Source organism: Homo sapiens, chromosome 11, assembly GCF_000001405.40.
Source record: "Homo sapiens chromosome 11, GRCh38.p14 Primary Assembly".
In the NCBI taxonomy this organism is placed as follows: Eukaryota; Metazoa; Chordata; class Mammalia; order Primates; family Hominidae; genus Homo; species Homo sapiens.
Window position 1 is genome coordinate 127,767,145 of NC_000011.10, and position 2,928 is coordinate 127,770,072.

Here is a 2,928-nt window from a genome sequence, read left to right on the forward strand (position 1 = left end):
TTAAATTAAATTGCATCATGGCTTGTTGAATTACAGACCTCACATACAGCTTCCTTCTGATTAGTGGATACTTTACTGATGTTGCATGTTTAACAAACATGTGAACTCCCAGGCTTGACTTCCTGGAATAAAATTTCTAAATGAGGCCTTTGTAAAGTCATTTTAAAGATGTGGAGGAAGTTGATCCATTTTCCCTGCTAGTAAGCATCCTCTTCAGCTGCTCTTAAAAGTTCTGTTGATAAGGTAATACAGATATTACACAGCAGTGATTCTCAAAATTGTGTGTTCCAAGAACCACTTGAAGTAAGTCTGTTTCTCACAGACCTCAAGAAGACAGCCATGGATCTCAGTTTGAGAAACAGGGAATTAAGGAAACAAGATCTCATACTTTAAAAATATATTTTGATAAAAAAATTATCACTGTAAAAGAAGTCTTGTAGAGTAAAAGTAAAATCTGTAAATTCTGTAAAAAGTAAGTTTTGTAAGATTATAATTGAAATAAAACTCAAAATATAACAAAACTTAGTAATCTTCTCATGATATGTCCATGAACTTTAGTTTGGGAAAATCTTATAATAGTGCTTTAGGGCTTACCAAGTACATTCTCATGTCTATTGTCTCATTTAGTTCTTAAAACAATACTGTGTAATATGTAATATTATCTTCCCAGAAGTACCTGCAGGATAATTGCAATGCTGGCATTTTAGCTCTGGTCTTATAACTCCAGGTATCACTATTACCACACTGAGTACTATTTTGCTCTTGTTTGTAATCCATTTTTTGTGGACTTCATAACCACCACCAAGATAATAGGCTGGATATTATTTCTGTGAGCAACCTAAGGGTAAGGTCCAAATACTCTTTATTCCTTTTCTGCATCCAGTCCCTTCTGTCATTAGGACAAATCTGTTTATACTGCCATTCATTTTAAGTTATTTGAGTATTATGTTTAACAAGATGGCGATTATCCTAAATAAATTAACAGGTATTTGTGAAATTTTATATTGTATTATATTGTATTTTTTATATTGTATTGTATTGTATTTTTTATTGTATCTAATTCTGAATAATAATCTAATCATTTAAAACAACATTTCCCAGAGTGAGATTCAAAAGAAAATTAGTCATGCCTTGGAGAGAGAGCTGGGGAGGGAGGAATACAAATTTGTTTAAAACAAAAACTAAAGTGTCTATCAAGTTTTTGAAGACTTACTATGGTGCCTTAAAAGCTATGAGGCATTCTGCAGTATAAATCTGTTTATTTCACATAGTATTTCTTAGACTTATTTGCCCCCTCTTATGAGTGTGTGTGACAGTCTAGAAGTGTACATCATTCTATAGTGGCTCATGACTCATTTATAGAAACTAAGGAACTCATTGCTTGAAGGCAGAAACATGCTTCAGAGTATCCTTCTGAAGTCTCCAATGGCCTAAGCTCTCTGACTACCTGATATGTGTCTCTTGCAAGTTTCAGTGTCTCCTGTTCACTGAAGCTGAGAGAGTGAGATAGTTTCTAACAATTGCCTTTCTTCGGCCAAGGGTGACTCAAGCAAAGATTTGTGTTTCTCTATTTAATATGAGGTATTATCACACGTGTTTTTACCTCCATAAAGGGTAAACTCAGTGTCACTCAGTAGGGAGATGGAAAGATATTTTGAGTAAACCAATAAGTGATCCATGATTTCAAAACATTGCAGGAGAGGCTTCTATGTATAAGTGTTTAATAAACATTAGACATTATTATTATTATATCATCTAATCTACTAAGTTGCTTTCACTCGCGTCCGTGTGAAGAGACCACCAAACAGGCTTTGTGTGAGCAATATAGCTGTTTATTTCACCTGGGTGCAGGCGGGCTGAGTCCGAAAAGAGAGTCAGTGAAGGGAGATAGGGGTGGGGCCGTTTTATAGGGTTTGGGTAGGTAAAGGAAAAAGGGGGGTTGTTCTCTGGCAGGCAGGAGTGAGGGTTACAAGGTGCTCAGTAGGGGAGCTTTTGAGCCAGGATGAGCCAGGAGAAGGAATTTCACAAGATAATGTCATCAGTTAAGGCAGGAACAGGCCATTTACACTTCTTTTGTGGTGGAATGTCATCAGTTAAGGCAGGAACCTGCCATCTGGATGTGTACCTGCAGGTCACGGGATATGATGGCTTAGCTTGGGCTCAGAGGCCTGATATTCCTGTCTTCTTATATTAATAAGAAAAATAAAATGAAATAGTGGTAAAGTGTTGAGACAGTGAAAATTTTTTGGGGGTGGTATGGAAAGATAATGGGCGATGTTTCTCATGGCTGCTTAGGACAGGATTAGGGGCGGCGTGGGAACCTAGAGTGGGAGAGATTAAGCTGAAGGAAGATTTTGTGGTAAGGGGTGATATTGTGGGGTTTTAAGAAGAAATATTTGTCATTTAGAATTACTGGTGATGGCCTGGATACAGTTTTGTATGAATTGAAAAACTAAACGGAATAAGAGAAGGAGAAAAACAGGTGTTAAAGGACTAAGAATTGGGAGTACCTAGGACATCTAATTAGAGAGTACCTAAGGAGGTTCAGCATAGCCTTGCCAGCAAAGATTATTTATTTACTTTGAGAGTTAAGAGTGGGGGTTTGGGGATAGCACCAGGAGATATCAGCTGTGATGGCTTAGAGAAACAGTGTAAACTGGCAATGTAAACAAGAGCAGGGCATGTATGAATAGTTGAGAATGGCGAATAGGAGTATGACTAGACAGAAGATAGTAGGGATGACAAGTTTTTAGGGGCACAGTCCAAGTTGGTCTGGTGTCTGGAATGAGACTGGGGCCTAATAAAAGGAGCTCAAATGGGCTGTACCTTGTAGCATTCCGAGAACAAGCCTGAATTCTGAGAAGGGAAAGTGGTAAAAGTATTGTCCAGTCCTTTTTAAGTTGGTGGCTGAGCTTGGTGAGGTGTGTT

At 37.7% G+C, this 2,928-nt stretch overlaps 1 annotated feature.

Annotated features, from left to right (window-relative positions):
- Positions 1,782-2,390: an enhancer, noted in NCBI's record as "OCT4-NANOG hESC enhancer chr11:127638821-127639429 (GRCh37/hg19 assembly coordinates)". NCBI's record gives its function as "activates a minimal SCP1, AML or CMV promoter by ChIP-STARR-seq in naive H9 embryonic stem cells {active_cell/tissue: H9 hESC(naive)}" and the evidence as "EXISTENCE:reporter gene assay evidence [ECO:0000049][PMID:30033119]".